Source organism: Homo sapiens, chromosome 17, assembly GCF_000001405.40.
Source record: "Homo sapiens chromosome 17, GRCh38.p14 Primary Assembly".
Lineage (NCBI taxonomy): Eukaryota > Metazoa > Chordata > Mammalia > Primates > Hominidae > Homo > Homo sapiens.
The window spans coordinates 47,156,068-47,176,713 of record NC_000017.11 but is presented as its reverse complement, the minus strand read 5'-3'; the positions used below and the strand labels follow the sequence as shown (position 1 = coordinate 47,176,713).

The 20,646-nt window shown below is 38.7% G+C and overlaps 1 protein-coding gene and 1 pseudogene across 18 annotated transcripts in view; both read left to right on the top strand.

The window, feature by feature from the left end:
- Nucleotides 1-20,646, top strand: part of CDC27 (cell division cycle 27) — a 71,593-nt gene that overhangs the window by 12,582 nt on the left and 38,365 nt on the right. For 8 of the 18 annotated variants that reach the window (NM_001353047.2, NM_001293089.3, NM_001353035.2 and 5 more), the window contains exons 3-7: nt 4,650-4,797; nt 6,672-6,797; nt 18,411-18,508; nt 19,330-19,484; nt 19,590-19,801. In NM_001353047.2, the coding sequence (NP_001339976.1) occupies nt 4,650-4,797; nt 6,672-6,797; nt 18,411-18,508; nt 19,330-19,484; nt 19,590-19,801 (739 nt within the window). The remainder of the gene's footprint in view (nt 1-4,649; nt 4,798-6,671; nt 6,798-18,410; nt 18,509-19,329; nt 19,485-19,589; nt 19,802-20,646) is intronic. The other 10 variants (XM_017025484.3, NM_001353049.2, NM_001293091.3 and 7 more) reach the window with 2 other exon arrangements.
- RPS2P47 (ribosomal protein S2 pseudogene 47) lies at nt 16,716-17,560 on the top strand (annotated as a pseudogene).

The window sequence follows — 20,646 nt, the reverse complement described above, 5'->3', positions numbered from 1 at the left end:
CCCGTTCCCTGCCTGTTCCTTTTCCCCTCCCAAATTTATGTTCCTTCTTAAAACCCTTCAGAAGTATCTAATTGTTGTAAGGATCTGTTCCTAAATCTTTACACAGTTTACAAAGCCCTGCACAATTTGGCCATCTTTTTTCTCCTCATATATTGCCATTTTCTGCCTCAAACACTAAGGAGCCTTTTAAAACTTCTTCCAGCCCTCTTTTATTTGTGGTCTTTTTACTCTAAGCGTGGTTTTAAAATACTTAAGAGCACTATTAACCCCATCATTAACAACAGGTATAAAACCAGTTGGTATTGAAATGCAGGATGTAAATAAATGTAGAAAAGATAAACATTGAGAATAGTATTCATATGCTAAATTTGCATATGTAGATGAAATGTTCAACAGTAGAAATGACTCTGAACAACAGAATGAATAATGAAATATAAGAAAAGTATAGCCTCCATACAATTGAAAACAGAAAAAAAAAAAGTTGATGAAATAGAATTACTTGAGCATGTGGCTCAGGGACACTTATGTACCCCCTGCATTAATATCAAATATCTATTCAGGTATTGTAAATTTAAGAGAAGGCCAATAATTAAAATAATAGCACATACAGCCTTCACTATGTGTCAGATACTATCCTAATTGCTGTGCATGTATTAAGTCATTTAATCCTAACAGCAACCTTTAAAGGTAGGTATCATAGTCCTTACCGGATGAAAAAAAAATGAGGGTCAGAGAAGTTAAGTAACTCTGCCCTAAGTCATAGCTAGTAGGTTGAAGTGCCAGAATCTGAACCCAAGCAGTCTAGCTTCAGAGTCGGTACTTTAATCCACATGTCATACTACTTATAGTTGATTAAAAAACTTAACAGATAATCGATTTGTTTTATTTTTTTTCTTTTGAGACAGAGTCTCGCTCTGTTGCCCAGGCTGGAGTGCAGTGGCGTGATCTCAGCTTACTGCAACCTCTGCCTCCCAGGTTCAAGCGATTCTTGTACCTCTACCTCCCAAGAAGCTGGAATTACAGACATGCACCACTATGCCTGATTAATTTTTGTATTTTTAGTAGAGATGGGGTTTCGCCATGTTGGCCAGGCTGGTCTCCAGCTCGTGGACTCAAGTGATCTGCCCACCTTGGCCTCCCAGAGTGCTGAGATTACAGGCATGAGCCACTGTGCCTGGCCCAGATAATCAATTTGAAACATGTGTCACAAATCATAAAAAGTTCCATAGGTTCTATGCCCTTAAATTCACACAACATCAGAGTTCATGACAGGGTAGCCACAGAGTACTCTAACCTCTGAGGGCTTCTCTGATATTTGTATAGTTTATCAAGGCTAGGTAAAGAACAGTCACCTCAACAAATTTTAAATTTGTCAAAATTGGTCCATTTTAGAAAGGCTGCTTATTTAGATTATAAATCAGCGTGAAGAAGAGGCGTCTATCTGGTTTAAAAGCTTTGAAAGACTAATTTACCTTTCTGTTTGATGTAAATGTATCTGGAGGATGCAAGGTTAAACCCCTCTTAATTATTTTGGACTTACACTCAAAAGACCTTTCCAATTTTGAAGCCAAACCTGTTTGTAAGAAGAGGAACTTCAGTAGTGCTGCTACAACTTACTTCCTTCCTTCCTTCCTTCCTTCCTTCCTTCCTTCCTTCCTTCCTTCCTTCCTTCCTCTCTCTCTCTTTCTCTCTTTCTTTCTTTCTCTCTCTCCTTTCCTTTCCTGTCCTGTCCTGTCCTGTCCTGTTTCGATAGTCCTGTTTCGACCGAGTTTCGCTGTTGCCCAGGCTGGAGTGCAGTGGCATGATCTCGGCTCACTGCAACCACTGCCTCCCGGGTTTAAGTGATTGTTCTGCCTCAGCCTCCCGAGTAGCTGGGATCACAGGTGCACGCCACCACACCCGGCTGATTTTTGTATTTTTAGTAGAGATGGGGTTTCACCATGTTGGCCAGGCTGGCCTTGAACTCTTGACCTCAGGTGATCCACCTGCCTCGGCCTCCCAAAGTGCTGGGATTACAGGCTTAATTTGTTTGTTTTTTCACTTTAGCAGTACATTCTGGAAATCTTTCTATGTCTGTATTTTTCATCACATGGACATAGCATAATTTAACTAGTACACGATTGATTTCTCAATATTACTTTAAGAGTGACTTAATGGAGTCAATGCTAACTTCATTCATGATTATGCAATATATTATGGACCTTATAATTCTAATCCCATATTTTAATTAAGTCTGTAAATAAAGGATGGTAAATAAGTGACATGCAAACATCTATAACTGTTTCTGGATCCTGTTATTTTGATCACTACTCTTGGTAGCTAGGCCATGATCAGCCTCAAGAAGTTTTCTGAACATGGCATTTCAGACAGCCATTATCCGTAAGTTGGAGTTACTGTTCTAGATGAAATCTTTGTCAATCCTATCCAGTAAACATATTCTGTGCTTTTTAGATTTATGGCTGCTTACCACTGCTTCTTTAGTTGTGTTTGGGGTACTGTTATCTTTTTCTGCTGCCAAGTTACTTGTGAGGAGCCTAAGAAACCACCCGTGTCACAACACTTCAGATTGCTCTGGATTTGCTTCCTTATCTGACAGTTTCATTATATTTATTTATTTATTTAAACAGAATCTCACTCTGTCACCCAGGCTGGAATGCGGTGGCACGATCTCGGCTCACTGCAGTCTCTGCCTCCTGGGTCCAGGCGATTCTCCTGCCTCAGCCTCCGGAGTAGCTGGGATTACAGGCTTGCGCCACCGCGCCTGGCTAATTTTTGTATTTTTAGTAGAAGACGGGGTTTCGCCATGTTGGCCAGGCTGGGCTTGAATTCCTGACCTCAGGTGATCTGCCTGCCTCAGCCTCCCAAAGTGCTAGGATTACAGGCATGAGCCACCACGCCTGGCCAGTTTCATTATTTTTAAGTTTTGCCTAAATCACCAATCCGTATTCCCATTTGAACATATAATTTTTAAGTTACTATGCTTCAAAAAGCTAATTGCAGTATTACACTAAAATTACACACGCACATGTACACACAAAAAGAATAGTTGGTGTCTTTATTAGGCAATTTTATTGCAGTGAAAGTGGACCTACACATAATCAAATATTTGTAAACAATTGAGACAGCATTACTGTGACTGGGAGTTAAATTAGTTTGTGGGAGCCATTGTTTATTGGTATAATCAATAGTTTTTAAAAACTTATAAGGTGAAAAGAAACCAGACCATTGTAAAATCTAGAGGAAATCAAACTTTCTAACTTATGTAAATTAGAAGTTGTAGCTCAGTAAAATTAATAGTTTATTCCTACTGCAGTGAGCGCCCCATTCTTTTTTTTTTTTTGTAGCTGCAGCACTAATACTACTATACATCTCATTAAAACACATCTGCCAAAATTTCTTATCATTTACTATTTATTATTTTTTACACTGTGGTTTCATAAAAAACCATAAGATGGACCAGAGAAGAAGGGTTCTGTTGGTTTTTGCTTGCACATATCTGTGACAAAAAACTTAGAAATAAAATTTCAAATTACTTTTTTATCCAAACTCTTAGAATGATGTTAACTATTTAAAAAGATGTGGCAAGTTTGTCTTGTACTTTACAACAGTGGTTCTCAAACTTGAGAATGCCACAGAATCACTTGCAGAGTTTGTTAACCACGTAGATTACTGGTTCCTACTCCCAGAATTACTAATTTAGTGGGTATGAGATGGGACACAAAAATTTTCATTTCTAGCAAGTTTCCAAGTTATGCTGATACTGGTACAAGGACCACACTTTGAGAACCACTGGCTTAGAAGATCCTTCAGCTCACTGGTATTATTGCATAACCCATTTTTAGAAGCACAGTTTTGTGGTTTTCCCTCTCTTTCCATCCTCTTTGTTGTTGCCTCTGTAGACCCTGGATTGTGGGGATAGAAGTGAAGTGATGATCAGTTTAGTAGAGACATAGACTAAATAAGGGTGAAAAATGCCACTTGCATTAAGAAGGCAGGGGGCATTTCCTAATGTAAAAAGGAGGGACAGATTGATAGATAACTCAGCTCTTGCTATTGTAATGTAATTTAATTATTGTTACTATAGTCTGTCAACTGAATGTTAAAATGGTGTGAGCATTCACAATTTATAATTTATCTTAAATATAATTTAATGTATATTTGATGTTAAAGCAAAACAAGTGGATTTTTTTCAATCTGGTCTTTTTAAAATATAGAAATTATTTCATATTGGTAGTTAGATTTATTTACACTCAGGTTTCTCTTGCTAATGAAATTTGACTTCTATCCTCCCGAAAGATTTATTAGAAAAATATTACCTAAAAACAAGATCCTTTACTGGTAGTCTGTTTAAAGGCAGGGGTGTTTCTGTGTGTGTATGCTTTTCTTAAATATTTACAGAGAATACCATGATTGTCTTCATTGTATTATTTCCTTGGTTTCTTGTAGAGAAAAGTAATCAAGATCTAAGGAACTGACTTTGCTATAAGCAAACCGTTTCTCCATAATTCAAATTTGAATTAATAAGTGATTGTTTTGTGTTAAAATAGCAAGCCTAATTTTTTTTTTTGCTAAACTTGTTTATTGCATGATAAACTGATTATCATTCAATATACTGAACAATAGCCTTTTTAAAAAATGTCTGTTTTTAGTACACTCAGAAGAAGCCTTGTTTTTACTGGCAACCTGTTATTACCGCTCAGGAAAGGCATATAAAGCATATAGACTCTTGAAAGGACACAGTTGTACTACACCGCAATGCAAATACCTGCTTGCAAAATGTTGTGTTGATCTCAGCAAGTAAGTTTTAAAATATTTTCTAGCTATTTTGTTTTACTTACACTGTTGAATTTTGGATAAAATTCCTTTCAGATTAAACTCTGATTCCCTTTCTTCCCTGTTTTCCATCTATTTCAGTAACATTCGAAATGTTTACACTGTTGCCTATGGCATTATTTATATTATGGAGATTTCATTGTTATGGTAATAAATAATAGAGTTTAACTCTGGAGAAACTTAAGTTATAACCGATTCTTATTGGTTTCTTAAATGATCACAAATATTTCGTTTTCTTTGCTTTCAGTGTTAGACCAATTTGAGTAAGCCTGAAAACCCACCAGCTCACTTGAGATTAAGGCTCCCTTGTGTTTAGGTGATTGTATAGTTTCCTTTCAAGATCATTTTATTGAGTACTTCTTTTGCACATTACAGTTAAACCAAGTCAGCTGTCCCTATACCAAATTTGGAGGCATTTAGAGATACAGATAGTTAGGTTCTATTCAATTCTTTTCTGTACTGTAAGAGATGGAATAATGGTAAAAGGGACTAAACGGTCACATGTGTAAACGGTGTTAGATATTTGTAAAAGCCTGTATGTATAATTGGCTTGTAGGTTTACAAGGGGAAGATACAAGTAAGTCTCACCATAGACTGATCAATAACTATATTATCTGTCCAGTGACTAATTGATGGCTTTTTAATTAAAGCTAGCTAAAATATCTGAAATTTCTGAGACATTTGTTGTTGAATTACTTTTAAATTTCAAAGATCCTAATGTGGAATTCTTAAAAATCTTTCTTATGTAATTTGCCAGTTCCTTTTTCTTTTTTCCTTTTTTTAGAGAAAGGGTCCTGCTGTGTTGCTCAGGCTGGAGTGCAGTGGGGTGATGATGGCTCACTGCAGTCCCCATCTGGGCCTAAGCGATCCTCCCATCTCAGCCTCCCACGTAGCTGGAGCTGCAGACACGTGTCACTACACCTGGCTAATTTTCTTATTTTTTGTATAGATGGGGTCTCACTATGTTGCCCAGGCTGGTTTTGAACTCTTGGGTTCAAGCTGTCCTCCCACCTTGGCCTCCCACAATGCTGGGGTTATAGGCTTGAGCCACTGTGCCGGGCATAAGTATGCAATTTTTAATTAAACTATGTTAGTCTTGTTTAATTTGCATATACATTTCTATTTTAAGGAAGTAAAAAGGACCACCATGTTTGTTAATGAAGAACCATTTATATTTTCTCCCCCAGTATAGTAATCATCTTCTGTTCCTTCTGACATGAGTAATGAATATGTTGCTCAGACTGGATTTGTACATACAGAGACTAAATGTAATTGATTCTGTTTTTAAAGGTAAAAGTGAAATTTTAAGATCATAAATTTCCAGCCTCTCAAATGATTCTAAATAAGTGTTTGCCACTATTGTAATTAAAAAAAATTTTTTTTACAAAAAACAAATTGGCCAGGTGCAGTGTCTCATGCTTGTGATCCCATGAGATGAGAGGATTGCATGAGCCCAGGAGTTTGAAACCAGCCTGGTCAACATAGTGAGACCCTGTCTCTACAAAAAAATTAAAAATTAGCTGGGTGTGGTGGTGTGCACCTGTAGTCCCAGCTACTCACAAGGCTGATGCAAGAGGCTCACCTGAGTCCAGGAATTTGAGGCCATGTGAACTATGATTGTACTACTGCACTCTAGCCTGGGTAACAAAGCAAGACCCTATCTCTTTAAAGAAAGGAAGACAGAGAGAGGGAGGGATGAAGGAAGGAAGGAAAAGGAAAGAGAGAGAGAGAAAAAATTTGTGTCTCCATAGTTAGATGCACTTTGGTAATGAAGAATATGTTTACATGAACTGCTTTTTATATTGGTTTTTAAAAATCTTTAAATTTGTATTTTAAAGGCTTGCAGAAGGGGAACAAATCTTATCTGGTGGAGTGTTTAATAAGCAGAAAAGCCATGATGATATTGTTACTGAGTTTGGTGATTCAGCTTGCTTTACTCTTTCATTGTTGGGACATGTATATTGGTAAGTAAGAATGATTCAAACTGTCAGAAAAGCATTTCCATACAAGTATGTTTTATAGTTTAAAAAACCTATGTTGATCAGTGTTTATCAAATATTACTTGGCTGAGTAGTACATAGTCTGATTCTATGACCTTATTAAAATAGCAGAGATGCTAATCTAAGTTTGAACTCTCCACTTATCCTTACTGATAATAGCTACAGCTGCCCTGCCTAACAATTGATCATACATGTTAGGTTTTTTTGTTTGTTTCTATTTTTTTTTTTTTTTTTTGAGATGGAGTTTCACTCTTGTCACCCAGGCTGGAGTGCAATGGTGTGATCTCAGTTCACTGCAACCTCCACCTCCAGGGTTCAAGCAATTCTCCTGCCTCAGCCTCCCAAGTAGCTGGGATTTCAGGTGCCCGACACCACGCCCAGCTAATTTTTGTATTTTTGGTAGACAGGGTTTTACCATGTTGGCCAGGCTGGTCTCAAACTCCTGACCTCAAGGTGATTCACCTGCCTCAGCCTCCCAAAGTGCTGGGATTACAGGTGTGAGCCACCGTACCCGGCCCCATGTTAGTTTATTTTACCTTGGGTGAAAAGAGTATCTTTATGTGATCCACTGAGGAGATAGAAGAAAAGATAGCCAGGTGCATTGTCTCACGCCTGTAATCTCAACACTTCGGGAGGTGGAGGTGGGAGGATCACTTGAGGCCAGGAGTTGAAGACTAGCCTGGGCAGCATACCAAGACCCCATCTCTACAAAAAAATAAAAAATTAGCTGGGTGTGGTGGCACATACCTGTAGTTCCAGCTACTCAGGAGACTGAGGTGGAGGATCTCTTGAGCCCAGGAGGTTGGAGCTGCTGTGAGCTGTGATTGTGCCACTGCACTCCAGCCTGGGTAACAGAGCGAGACCCTGTTTCCAAAAAAAAAAAAAGAAAAAAAAAAAGAAAAAGAACAAGTAACTCTGCCCATGGGAATGCTTCACATGTGTAAATGTTATCTGTTGTCACTTCTCCCCCGTGGGAGAAGTGACTGGGGACTGCTTGTCTAAAGAACTAGGATAGCATCTGTTTTAAGATAAATTGAGGCTAGTTTGAATATTGGTTATTTTTCAAAACCTTGAAAATGTATTTCTGAACAGAATACATTATTTGACTAAGTTTGGGGGCCCGTTTTCAGGTGTAACGGTGGTATGTTTATCCATTAACACCACTCTTGCGAACATGAGTAAGCAAAGACATAATATCAATATATTCATTTACCTTAAGGACTGAGAATAATAAATTTAGTTCATGAAACTATGATTCTTCTTGTCATTTAGTCAAGAAACTTTGAGATTCATTTCCATTATAGCTAAACACACTTGGCTTGAATATAAAGATAAATAACTCACAGTCATACTTGGCTTGAATATAAAGATAAATAACTCACAGTCCCCACCCTCAAAGGTTTATAATAGAGTAGGAGAAGAGAAACAGTAAACAAAAGTTTGTAAGTGTGATATAGTGAAATATATATATTTGGTCTTTGACCTCATTTCCTCGTATACACTTAGAAACTCCAAAGTGATATCTTTTTGTATGCAAACGAATTGACTGGTAGCTGGCATCCCCTAGGTAGCTTCAGGATGGGGACTGGCAGCAAAAGACCAAGGCAGGATTAGAGGATTGGGACTTTTCATCCCCACCCCGCAACCTCCCAGGAGGTGAGAGGAGCTGAAGATTAAGTTTCACCATTAAATTGGTGATAAGATTATCACCAACAGCCAATGGTTTAATCAGTAATGCCTATGTAGTGAAGCCTCCGTAAAAACTCAAAAGGACAGGGTTCAGAAAGCTTCCAGAAAACTGAACACATGGAGGTTCCTGGCAGGTGGCTTGCCTGGAGAGGCCATGGAAGCTCCGCACCTCTCTTTCCCCATGCCTCGCCCTATGCACTCTTCATCTGTATCCTTTGTGATATCCTTTATAAGTCAACTGCTCTAGCAAATTCATCAAACCTGAATAGAGCATTGTGGGAATCCCAATTTATAGCTAGTTGATCAGAAGTTCCTTAGGCCCAGACTTGTGACTGGTTTCTGAAGGTGGGGCAGGGCAGTCTTGAAGACTGAGCCCTTAACCTGTGGGACCTGAGGCTGTCTACAGGTAGATGGTATCAGAATTGAATTAGCGGACATTCAGCTGGCGTTTGATGCTTGGTGTGTTTAGGGGGAATTAGAAAACCCAGACATTTGGTCACAGAAGTCTTCTGTATTGATGATTGTTACTGTTAAGAGAGAATAGGAAAAAACAAAATGTTGCTTTTTCCACACTCAAAGTTCGTTTTTATTATCACATTAAACGTTCTGTCATAAAATTTGAGCATTATATTGTTCAAATGAGAGAATAATTAGTCCTGCCTGGTTAAGAAGAGGGGTTGTGATAACTAGGAAAAACTTGATAGAAAAAGTAAAATTTGACAACATCTCATATCTATAGAGTGACTTCCAGAGGAAAATAGATGTTCAAAGACTACAAATTATTTGAGAGGAGTGATGTACAAACACTGGAGGGTAGACAATTTATGAAAGAAGTTGGCAAAATTTTAATAAGGAATGTTGGAGAAATAATCCTAAAGAGCATCATATTCTTTTATTTTTAGAAAATTAACTAAAATGAAGTATTATAAATATTACTCTGTTGAAAAAAGTTGCATTAGATAATAAAAAGTCACACATGGATAAGAAAATCTCAAAACATTTGGAAATGAAACCACATACTTCTAAATAATTAATGGGTCTGGGCACAGTGGCTCACGCCTGTAATCCCAGCCCTTTGGGAGGCCAAGGTGGGTGGATCACCTGAGGTGGGGAATTTGAGACCAGCCAGGCCAACATGGTGAAACCTTGTCTCTACTAAAAATAAAAAAGTTAGCCGGGCATGGTGGTGCACGTCTGTAATCTCAGCTACTTGGGAGTCTGAGGCACGAGAATTGCTTGAACCTGGGAGGCAGAGGTTACAGTGAGTCGAGATCACACCATTGCACTCCAACCTGGGTGACAGAGTGAGACTCCATCTCAAAAAAATTAAATAAATAAATAATTCATGGGTTGAAGAGGAAGTCTCACAGGAGATTTTAAAAATATATTGAACTGAATGAAAGGGATAATAAATATGACATATTAAAAACTATGATGTTGCTAAAGTCTTACAGCGAAATTTATAGCACTAAATGTTTGTTATAAAAGAACAGTTTCAACTCTGCTATCTAAGCTTTCACTGTAAGAAACTAGAAAAAGAAGAGCACAGTAAATCCAAGCAAACAGAAAGAAGGAAATAATAAAAAGTAGAAATCAGTGAAATTGCAAACAGAAAAACAATAGAGAAAATCATAGAAACCAAAGCTGGTCCTTGGAAAGATTGGTAAAACTGCCGAAAGTGACCCCAAAAAAGAAAGAGAGAGAACACCATTACTTATATCAGGAATGAAAGAAGGAATATCACTACCTACCCTGAGGACAGTGAAAGGATGTGTATGCTGAAAACTTAAAACAACTCTATGCACATGAATTTAACAACTTAGATGAAATGGGCCAATTTCTTAATAAGCCACACTACCAAAACTCACCTAAGAAATAGAAATCTGAATAATCCTAAAATTATGAAAGAAACTTTAATTTGTAGTTAAAAGTCTTCCCTAATGCTACATAATCTCTTCCAGAAAACAGAACAAGAAGAAATACTCCTCTACTCATGAGGCCACATTTCCTTGATTCCAAAATGAAATACTGTTCTAAAAAGGAAAACTATAGGCCACTATTCCTTAAGAATACATGTATACACAAAAATCTTCAAAAAAAATTAGGAAATCAGATGTATCAGTGATATATAAAAATAATACTATTTCTCAGAAAATTGAAACTAGAATTACTATTTGAGCCAGTAATTCCACTTGTGGGAACATACACAAAATAATTAAAAACAGGATCTTGGATGGTCAGTTGACTTTTGAAGAAGGTGAAAAACAATTTAATGGAGGAATGATATCCTTTTTAGCAAATAATGGTGCCAGTGCAATTGGATATCCATAGGCAGAGAAATGAGCATTGACTTAAACCCCATACCTTATTAAAAATTTAACTCAAATGAATCATGGATCTAAATGTAAAACATAAAACTATTAAACTTTTAGAAAAAAATCTTTATGAGCTAGGGTTAGGCAAAGACTTCTTAAACATAACACCCAAATGACAGTACATAAAATAAAAAGTTGATAAATTTTATCAAAATTAAAACTCTTTGCTTGGCAAAAGACATTAATGAAAATACACACAAGTCACAGCCTGGGAGAAAATATTTGCAAATCCCATAAACAACACAGATTGTATCTAGACTATATAAAGAACTCTCTCAGTAATAAAAGAAAAATCAGTTCAATTAGAAAATAAGTAAAACAATTGAATGGACATTTCACCAAAGAGAGTATATGGATGGTAAATAAGCAGGTGAAAAGATGTTCTAAATCGTTAGCCATTAAGGAAAGTGATTAAAAACCACCATTAGATACAATGGCTAAAAATAAAAACTACTGACAATACCAAGTGCTGGTGAGAGGATGCAGTGCAGCAGGATTCCTCGTACACTGCTGGTGGGAATGTAAGGTGATATTTTACACAGGAGTTCATAGCAACTTTATTCATAAAAGCCCAAAACTGGAAACAACCCAAAATTCAGTAAGTAAATAGATAAACTAGTCCATATGATGGACTACTTAGCAATAAAGAGAAACAAACTACTATATTGATATGTATAGTAACTTAGATAGATTACAAGGTTATTATGGCAAGTGAAAAAAGCCAATTTCAGAAGTTTCTATAATTCCATTTATATAACATTAATCTGACAGAATTATAGTGAAGGAGAACAGATCAGTGGTTCTCAGGTTGGGTTAGGGTGAGGATGTAACTATTTAGGGGTTTCTTTGGGATATTAAAACAGTTTTATATCCTGATTGTAGTAGTGGTTATAGAAATTTGTAAATGTGATAATATTCTCTATATAAACGTGTAAAAACTGCTAAAATTCAAATAAGCTCTGTGGTTTAGTTTACAGTTGTTGTTGTTGTTGTTGTTTGAAATGGAATCTTGCGCTCTGTCGCTCAGGCTGGAGTACAGTTGCACAATCTCAGCTCACTGCAGTCTCCACCTCCCAGGTTCAAGCAGTTCTCGTGCCTCAGCCTCCGGAGTAGCTGGGATTACATGTGAGCGCCACCATGCCCAGCTAATTTTTGTATTTTTAGTAGAGACGGGGTTTCACCATATTGGCCAGGCTGGTCTCAAATTCCCAACCTCACATGATCCACCTGCCTCGGCCTCCCGAAGTGCTGGGATTACAGTCATGAGCCACCGTGTCCAGCGTAGTTTACAGTTTTGTACTAATGTCAATTTCCTAGTTTTGATAACTGTACTATGGTTATGTCAGATATTATTGGGGGAAGCTGGGTGTAGGGTACATGGGAACTGTGTACTGTTTTTGCAAGTTCTATGTAAGTCTAAAATTATTCCAAAGTAAAGTTTAAAAAAATTAAGTTAAAATCACAAATATGTTATACAGTCATGTGTCACTTTATGATGGGGATTTGTTCTGAGAAATGTGTCCTTAGGTGATTTTGTCATTTGTGAACATCATAAAGTGCATATGCACAAACCTAGATGGTGTAGCCTACTACACACCTAGGCTATATTGTATAACCTATTGCTCCTGGGCCACAAACCTGTACAGCATGTTACCTTACTGAATACTGTAGGCAGTTATAACAGTATGGTAAATATTTGTGTATCTAAACAAAGAAAAGATACAGTAGAAATATGGCATTATAATCTTATGGGGGCCAGGCAGGGTGGCTCACACCTATAATCCCAGCATTTTGGGAGGCCGAGGCGGGCAGATCACCTGAGGTCAAGAGTTCGAGACTAGCCTGGCCAACACGGTGAAACCCCACCTCAACTAAAAATACAAAAATCAGCTGGGCGTGGTGACACGAGCCTGTAATCCAGCTACTGGGGAGGCTGAAACAGGAGAATCACTTGAATCCAGGAGGCAGAGGTTGCAGTGAGCTGAGATCGTGCCATTGTACTCCAGCCTGGGCAGCAAGAGTGAAACTCCATCTCAAAAAAAGCAAAAGAAACAAATAATCTTATGAGACTATTGTCATACATGTGATCTGTTGTAACAGAATGTCATGTGGCACTGAACTATTCAGATAAAATCATTAAAGTTTTTTTAAAGATGCAGTTAAATCAGTTCCTCAGAAAGGTATGTGTGTGTATGTATACATATATGTAAACAAGGAAGTTCTTTTTTCTCCTTCTTCAGAGGAATATGGATGGGTTCTTTTATATTTTTTTGGTTTTGGTAGATATGGGGTCTCCCTATGTTGCCCAGGCTGGTCTTAAGCTCCTGGGCTCAAGCAGTCCTGGCACCTCAGCCTCCCAAAGTGCTGGGATTACAGGCATGAGCCACAGCACCCAGCCAAGGGTTATTTTTATTCATCATCAAGATTAAAAGATTGAGTATTGAAAGTGGAACAACCCTACCCCAATCCTGGCTTTTCATTTTAGCCATTATATACCAGAATTGCACCTAGTAATCTAGATACATACATGTGGTTTTGTAGCTAAGGTGTGTTAGGTTTTCTTTTCTATCTCCAGTATAGACTTTTTTTTGTCTTTTTGTCTATTACAGCACATGAGACTTCTATGTTTAGGACACAACTGATACTAAGTCTGATTCCTAAATTATCCTATTTCTTCCCAATACCACTTAAATAATATTTTTTATGCCAGTTCTTTAGGAAACTTCTGGCTGGGTTTTGTGTGTATCACTCAATTTTAATAAAAACTTCGATCTAAATTTAGAGTACCCCAGCACTTTACTTTTCTTAAATCTTTGTCCCCTTTTATCTCTCTATTGAATAATTAGAGGTTTTATCTTCCAGGCTAGATTATTATAATTCCACACCTGACTTCTTCCCTAGTTAGCTCTTATGTGATTTATACATATATCTATCCATATGTGTATCTAATCTCTTAACAGACATGAATTTTGATTTAAATTTCTTCTGTTTTGTGGTCTATTCATGAAATAATTACTCATTATAAAAATCAGCCTTGCCAACTTAACCAAGTTTGATTTTTTCTTTTCCTAATATAAAAATAATACAATTTTAATTTAAGTAATACTGGAAATGAGACTTTTCAGCACAAAGGATCACCCCTCTTACTTTTCCAGAATATTTTTCCCGTAACAGATTATTTTGTCTTTGCTTAATCAATGTTTGTCTACTTCCTTTCTGGCCATGTAAATAATTCATACAGTTCACTAATGCAACTTTTAAAATTATTAATAAAAATGTCTGTTTTATATCACATTCTGCTGGCAAAGCAAGGGGACGGGGCTACTTGAAAACAGGAAACAGGTAGTATAAAAATGGCAAAGACTAATTCTCCATTCTCAGAGAGCTTATAATCACTTGCAAGAGAGAATGCTTGAAAAGATAAATAGGCAGACTATGGTTAGTATTATGAGACAGAAGGGGCCTAGATAGATGAATTGAAGGGATGAAGAGGCAAGACATTAATTAGGAATCTATTGATGGTTTAGATGAGAAGCAATAAGGATCCTAACAGTGAAAATAAAGAGGGAACTTAAGCCAGAAATAAAATGAAAGTACATGAATTATGGCTTCGTTGCTGATTGGCTGTGAAGGTCAGAGGAGAAGAAGAAGGAGTCAGTGCTATCTCTAAGTAGGATTTTTGAGTCTGTAAACTTGTAAAAATAGTGGTGTCCTTAAAACACACACAGAAAGAAAGAGAAAGAACAGATTTTGGGGAGAAAAGATGAACTTGACTTTGAATTTACTAAGCTTTAGATAAGGAAGTAAAACCTAGATGAAATTGCCCATCAGGCAAAGGAAAGGTAAGGTTGAAGTTAGAAGTAGATTTAGTTGTCATCTCTGTAGAAGGGATTCTCACCAGACAGAGATTTTCTAAAGAAGGGACTGAGGCCTGAGGGAATGGCTTTACTTAGGAACTACAAGAAGAAAAAAAAAAAAAATGAAGAAATGGTCATTGACCTATTTGAAGCTTAGGATAATCCTCAAACAATGAGATTTCACTGTATTTTGTTTTTATTTATTTATTTGAGACAGAGTCTCGCTCTGTCACCCAGGCTGGAGTGCAATGGCATGATCTCGACTCACTGTAACCTCCACCTCCAGGATGCAAGCAGTTCTCCTGCCTCAGCCTCCCAGGTAGCTGGGATTACAGGTGCCCACCACCACACCTGGCTAATTTTATGTTTTTAGTAGAGACGAGTTTTCACCGTGTTGGCCAGGCTGGTCTCGAACTCCTGACCTCAAGTGATCCACCTGCCTTGGCCTCCCAAAGTGCTGAGATTACAGGCATGAGCCACCGTGCCTGGCTGTGTATTTTCTTTTGCTTAGCCTTATGTTAAAAGCTCCCAAGCACTGATTTGCCACGTTCCACCCTATTACTTTCAGCAAATGTTTTTTTGTATGCCCTTTCTTCATTTCCTATTTCTAAATTACCACTCTATCCCTGGTGGGTGATTATGTCAGTCTTATGACAATTATATTTAAGAAATTTCAGGCCAGTTGTGGTGGCTCACACCTGTAATCCCAGGTTTGAGACCAGCCTGGGCAACATAGCAAAACACCGCTAACTTTTTTTTTTTTTTTTAATTAGCCAGCCATGGTAGCATGCACTTGTAGTCCCAGCTACTTGGGAGGCTGAGGCAGGAGAATCACTTAAGGCCAGGAGTCCAGCCTGGGCAACATAGCAGGATCCTATCCCTTTAAAAAAAAAAAAAAGAAAGAAATTTTTGATCTAAATGATCTTAGATACAGACTTTGATAAAACTTATTTATGTTTTCCAAAAGTCTGCATCCTACTTCTGCTTCCTACTTTGTCCATTTGTTTATTGGCTTAAATTACACAAGTGTGGGAAGCTAGATATCCTTCAACTGGTAGTACTTTCTTTGTCATATCACTTATTTCTAGTTTTTACTCACTTGAAAATTTGGCAGTGAGGCAAACTAATATCTGGTTCCCCAAGGGTACCTTCTTCATAGTTCTCTGAGGTTATACTGACATTCCGCACATAAACAGATGATGTATACATTTTACCTGATAGTTTCAGTTGAGGATCTCGGTTAGATTTCTTCTGGTCCTTTATATATAAAACCTTAGAATTTTGGAAGAATTGCTGTTCTGAATTTTTTTCCATTTGATATTGAAGCATTTGAACTTCAGACCAGGTAAGTTGTATTTTTTACCTGAATGCTTTAATTGGTCTCACTAGCCACTAACCCCTTCCATCCTCCTATTTAAAAGCTAAGGAGGAGGCGACCAGGTGCTGTGGCTCACGCCTGTAATCCCAACACTTTGGGAGGCTGAAGCGGGTGGATCACTTGAGTCCAGGAGTTCAAAAACAGCCTGGCCAACCTGGTGAAACCCTATCTCTACTAAAATATAAAAATTAGCTGGCATGGTGGTGTGCACCTGTAATCCCAGCTACTCGGGAGGCTGAGGCATGAGAATCACTTGAATCCAGAAGGTGGAGGTTGCAGTGAGCCGAGATCATGCCACTGCACTCCAGCCTGGGCAACAGGGCCAGACTCTCAGGAAAAAAAAAAAAAAAAAAAGCTAGAGAGGCAGCAATGCTGTTCTGATAATCCCCAGATTTTTCCAAGTATATATGTTCCCAGGGATATTGTCCAGATTCCATATGTAAGCGTTTATACACCTGATTTAGAAAGAAACATAAATTTTCCTTTTCATTAAGGAAGCAGATCCTCCACAAACAGATCTTGAGGGGAGAGGGGAGGAAAAAGACCTACCACCTCTAGTTTGTTTGAAAAAAAAAAAAAAGAAGCAGAGGTTTCAGCAGTGGCATCCAGGGCTGGGGTCGCAGCCGTGGATGGGGCCGGGACCGAGGCCACGGAGCTCGTGGAGGCAAGGCCAAGGATAAGGAGTAGATTCCCATCACCAAGCTGGGGCTCCTGGTCAAGGACATGAAGATCAAGTCCCTGGAGGAGATCTATCTCTTCTCCCTGCCCATCAGGGAATCTGAGATCATTGACTTTTTCCTGGGGGCCTCTCTCAAGCACAAGGTTTTGAAGATTATGCCGGTGCAGAAGCAGACCCGTGCCAGCCAGGGCACCAGGTTCGAGGCGTTTGTTGCCATCGAGGACTACAATGGCCACGTCGGTCTGGGTGTTAAATGCTCCAAGGAGGTGGCCACTGCCATCTGCAGGGCCATCAACATCCTGGCCAAACTCTCGATTGTCCCCGTGCGCAGAGGCTACTGGGGGAACAAGATTGGCAAGCCCTACGCCGTCCCTTGCAAGGTGACAGGCCACTGCGGCTCTGTGCTGGTGCGCCTCGTCGCACCCCCAGGAGCACGGGCATCGTCTTGGCACGTGTGCCCAAGAAGCTGCTCATGATGACTGGTATCGATGACTGCTACACCTCAGCCAGGGGCTGCACTGCCACCCTGGGCAACTTCACCAAGGCCACCTTTGATGCCATCTCTAAGACCTACAACTACCTGACCCCGGACCTCTGGAAGGAGACTGTATTCACCAAGTCTCCCTATCGGGAATTCACTGACCACCTCGTCAAGACCCACACTAGAGTCTCCGTACAGAGGACCCGGGCTCCAGCTGTGGCTACAACATAGGGTTTTTACACAAGAAAAATAAAGTGAATTAAGCCTGGAAAAAAAACAACAACAAATAAAAACCTGGTCATTTATGCTATATTTAAAGCATTTAAATCACTTTCAGAATTACCACTGGGAATGTTGTATTAAAAATTAAGGCCAAGCGTGGTGGATCACGCCTGTAATTCCAGCATTTTGGGAGGCTGTGGTGGGCAGATCACTTGAGCTCATGAGTTCGAGACCTGCCTGGGCAATATGGCAAAACCCCATCTCGACGAAAATACAAAAAGGCCAGGTGCGGTGGCTCACACCTGTAATCCCAGCATTTTGGAAGGCCAAGACAGGTAAATCACCAGAGCTCATGAGTTCAAGACCCGCCTGGGCATCAATGGTGAAGCCTGGTCTCTACAAAATATGCAAAAATTAGCCGGATATGGTGGTGCGCACCTATAGTCTCAGCTGTTCAGGAGGCTGAGGTAGGAGGATGGCTTTAGCGTAGGAAGTAGGGGTTGCAGTGAGCCAAGATCATGCCACTGCACTTCAGCCTGTATGATAGAGCCAGACCTTGTCCAAAAAAAAAAAAAAAAATTAAGAATAATACTGAAGGATTTGGATGTTTTTCACATCTCCCTCAATAACTCTAGTATCTGACAGGAAGTTTAAAGTAATAGTAATATTCAAGAAGGCAACGATAGTTTGTTTTGTAAGCATTTCTTTTGATTCATGTTCTGTGCGCTTTCACTTGATTTGGAGATTAGCAGATGGGAGAAATTGGTAACTTAGAGAAGCATCACAAAGAGTGCTCTCTGAACTTCTGTAACTTTTACCTAATTTTTTATACTAAAAGTTTATGATACAGGTTTTGGGGTTTGTAGCTTATTTAATCTACTTGTTTCTCTCCACAGCAAGACAGATCGGCTTGCCAAAGGATCAGAATGTTACCAAAAGAGCCTTAGTTTAAATCCTTTCCTCTGGTCTCCCTTTGAATCATTATGTGAAATAGGTAGGTGGGTGGGGTTGAGAGGTGGGTGGGTTCCCATCTCCTCTTCTTTTTTTCCTGCTACTTAATTTTTGGAGAGCAATACAGATCATCTACCCCCAAGAAAAATATTTTTCAAAGTTAAAATTGAGAATAAAAAATAAGTTAGAATCTTCGGTATGTTTCAAGAATCATATAACTGAAAATTACACAAAGATTAAATCCAGTAGATTCTTCTGTTGAACCAATCTATTTTCAAGTATCTGGTGTCCTCTAGAATGGGTTATATTGTGTGTTTAACACTAGCAAAATTGCTTTCTGAATAAGAAAATTAATAAAATTTCTAATGCAATTAATAAATGCCTGAAACTTACAAGACCTGAACAGTACAGGGAGAGAATTTCTCAGTATATTTGGCCTAGGATACATAAAGGACCATTTTTCAGCATTGTTGCATCTATGTATATATAGAAGGGCTTCAACCTTTACTGTAAAATATGATGGGTTTTAACTCTTCAACCTCATCTCCTACTTTGAGAAAAATGAGATCTAGTTATTTTCAGCTTTAAAACAAACACAGAAATCTGCATTTTTCTGCGATTTGTTATGTTTAAAATTAGTGTTCTTGTAGTTTATTTTCATTTACAGCTTTATCTTACTGGTAAACTTTTATGATATATTGATAGATGGGTTTTTTGGGGGTAAATTTGATTAGCAGAAGTGGACAGGAGATTTTTAAAGTTTGGATAAGGCCTATTTCCTGTTTCCACTGATTTATGCATACTTGAAAAACATGTATTCCTCACTTCCTCAGAGACAAACTTTTTTTTTTTTTGTCTTCACAGGTGAAAAGCCAGATCCTGACCAAACATTTAAATTCACATCTTTACAGAACTTTAGCAACTGTCTGCCCAACTCTTGCACAACACAAGTACCTAATCATAGTTTATCTCACAGACAGCCTGAGACAGTTCTTACGGAAACACCCCAGGACACAATTGTAAGTGTCTTATATTCTAGTGTTCAAAATATTATGAAAACTACAAAGAATGATCTGAACTAAATAATATATTGTGAATGACTTGGTAGAAATTTTCTGTTTCAGGAATTAAACAGATTGAATTTAGAATCTTCCAATTCAAAGTACTCCTTGAATACAGATTCCTCAGTGTCTTATATTGATTCAGCTGTAATTTCACCTGATACTGTCCCACTGGGAACAGGAACTTCCATATTATCTAAACAGGTTCAAAATAAACCAAAAACTGGTCGAAGTTTATTAGGAGGACCAGCAGCTCTTAGTCCATTAACCCCAAGGTAAGTCAAACAAGATACTTTCAAATGTGCTATAATACCAAATGATCTTATGATAACTCATATTGTTAGTAATGCAGATTATTACAACAGCAACTTCTAAATCACTGTGGAAACAGGGGCATTCTGTTTTCAGAAAATGAAGTAAAAACTGGCAAATAGTGATGTTGCCAGGTGCGGTGGCTCATGCCTGTAATCCCAGCACCTTGGGAGGCCAAGGCAGGCAGATCACCTGAGGTCAGGAGTTCAAGAACAGCCTGGCCAACATGGTGAAACCCTGTCTCTACTAAAAATACAAAAATTAGCTGGGCATGGTGGCGGGCGCCTGTAATCCCAGCTACTCAGGAGGCTGAGACAGGAGAATTGCTTGAACCCGGGAGGCGGAGGTTGTAGTGAGCCGAGATGGAGCCACTACACTCCATCCTGGGCGACAGACCAAGACTCCAACTCAAAAAAAATTGATATTGAATATTGGACTGGCCAGGCGCAGTGGCTCACGCCTGTAATCCCAGCACTTTGGGAGACCAAGGTGGGCAGATCACGAGGTCAGGAGATCGAGACCATCCTGGCCAACATGGCGAAACCCCGTCTCTACTAAAAATACAAAAAACTAGCCGGGTGTGGTGGCACGCGCCTGTAGATCCAGCTACTCGGGAGGCTGAGGCAAGAGAATCACTTGAACCCGGGAGACAGAGGTTGCAGTGAGCCGAGATGGTGTCACTGCACTCCAGCCTGGGAGACAGGGCAAGACTCCATCTCAAAAAAAAAATTGGAGGAAAATTTAAAACTCTGAAATATTCCTTAATTAGGTAGTAAACACATTAAAAAATACTGTCTTTATGGCTGTG